General features: G+C 45.6%; 1 annotated feature.

The window, feature by feature from the left end:
* Positions 347-903: an enhancer, noted in NCBI's record as "OCT4-NANOG hESC enhancer chr3:163625147-163625703 (GRCh37/hg19 assembly coordinates)". NCBI's record gives its function as "activates a minimal SCP1, AML or CMV promoter by ChIP-STARR-seq in naive and primed H9 embryonic stem cells {active_cell/tissue: H9 hESC(naive and primed)}" and the evidence as "EXISTENCE:reporter gene assay evidence [ECO:0000049][PMID:30033119]".

Here is a 1718-nt window from a genome sequence, read left to right on the forward strand (position 1 = left end):
CAATGAGATCACATGGACACAGGAAGGGGAATATCACACTCTGGGGACTGTGGTGGGGTGGGGGGAGGGGGGAGGGATAGCATCGGGAGATATACCTAATGCTAGATGACGAGTTAGTGGGTGCAGAGCACCAGCATGGCACATGTATACATATGTAACTAACCTGCACAATGTGCACATGTACCCTAAAACTTAAAGTATAATAATAAAAAAAAAAAAAAGGAAAAAAAAAAGTCTTCTGGTATTCAAAAAAAAAAAAAAAAAAATTAAAATATATTTTAAAATTATACCATAGTGCAGAGTACATGTATTTTACAACATGAGTCACAAACACAAATATTTAAGGTTGCTGGTCAATTTACTTTAATATGGGAATTTTTGCTTTTTAAAGACAAGTTGGAGAGCCTGTAGGACCTAGCAGGGAAGTTGACTTCCTTGCCTGAGTAGTTAAGAAAAAGATAAAATGCAAACCTTCCGATTCAATTTTTCTCAGAAGAGATTCCTTACATTAAGTTATTGTCAGGCCTCTGAGCCCAAGCTAAGCCATCATATCCCCTGTGACCTGCACGTACACAACCAGAGGGCCAGTTCCTGCCTTAACTGATGACATTCCATCACAAAAGAAATGAAAATGGCCATTCCTGACTTAACTGATGACATTATCTTGTGAAATTCCTTCTCCTGGCTCATCCTGGCTCAAAAGCTCCCCTACTGAGTACCTTGTGACCCCCACTCCTGCCCACCAGAGAACCCCCGTTTGACTGTAATTTTCCTTTACCTACCCAAATCTTATAAAATGGCCCCACCCCTATCTCCTTTCACTGACTCTTTTTGGACTCAGCCCACCTGCACCCAGGTGAAATAAACAGCCTTGTTGCTCACACAAAGCCTGTTTGGTGGTCTCTTCACACAGACGCACATGAAATTTGGTGCCATGACTCAGATCAGGGAGTCTCCCTTGGGAGATCAATTCCCTGTCCTCCTGCTCTTTGCTCCCTGAAAAAGATCCACCTACAACCTCAGGTCCTCAGACCCACCAGCCCAAGGAACATCTCACCAATTTTAAATCAGGTAAGCGGTCTCTTCTTACTCTCTTCTCCAACCTCTCTCACTATCCCTCAACCACCTTCTCCTTTCAATCTTGGTGCCACCCTTCAATCTCTCCCTTCTCTTAATTTCAATTCCTTTCATTTTCTGGTAAAGACAAAGAAGACATGTTTTATCTGTGGACCCAAAACTCCGGCGCCGGTCACGGACTCAGGAAGGCAGCCTTCCCTTGGTGTTTAATCATTGCAAGGATGCCTCTCTGATTATTCACCCATGTTTCAGAGGTGTCTGACCATGCAAGGACACCTGCCTTGCTCCTTCACCCTTAGTGGCAAGTCCCGCTTTTCTAGAGGAGGGGCAAGAACCCCAACTCCTTCTCTCTGTGTCTCTACCCCTTCTCTGCTTTTCTAGGGGGCAAGAATCCCCCAATCCCTTATTTCCGCACCCCGACCCCTTATCTGTGCACCTCGATCCCTTATTTCTGGACGCCGACCCCTTATTTCTGCACCCGGATCCTTTATTTCTGCACCCCAACCTCTTATCTCTGGGCCCTGATCCCTTATTTCCACGCCCCAACCTCTTATCTCTGTGCTCCATCCCTTATTTCCATGCCCCGACATCTTATCTCTGCACCCTGATCCCTTATTTCCACGCCCCGACCCCTTTCCCGC

This window comes from Homo sapiens, chromosome 3 (genome assembly GCF_000001405.40).
Source record: "Homo sapiens chromosome 3, GRCh38.p14 Primary Assembly".
Taxonomy (NCBI): domain Eukaryota; kingdom Metazoa; phylum Chordata; class Mammalia; order Primates; family Hominidae; genus Homo; species Homo sapiens.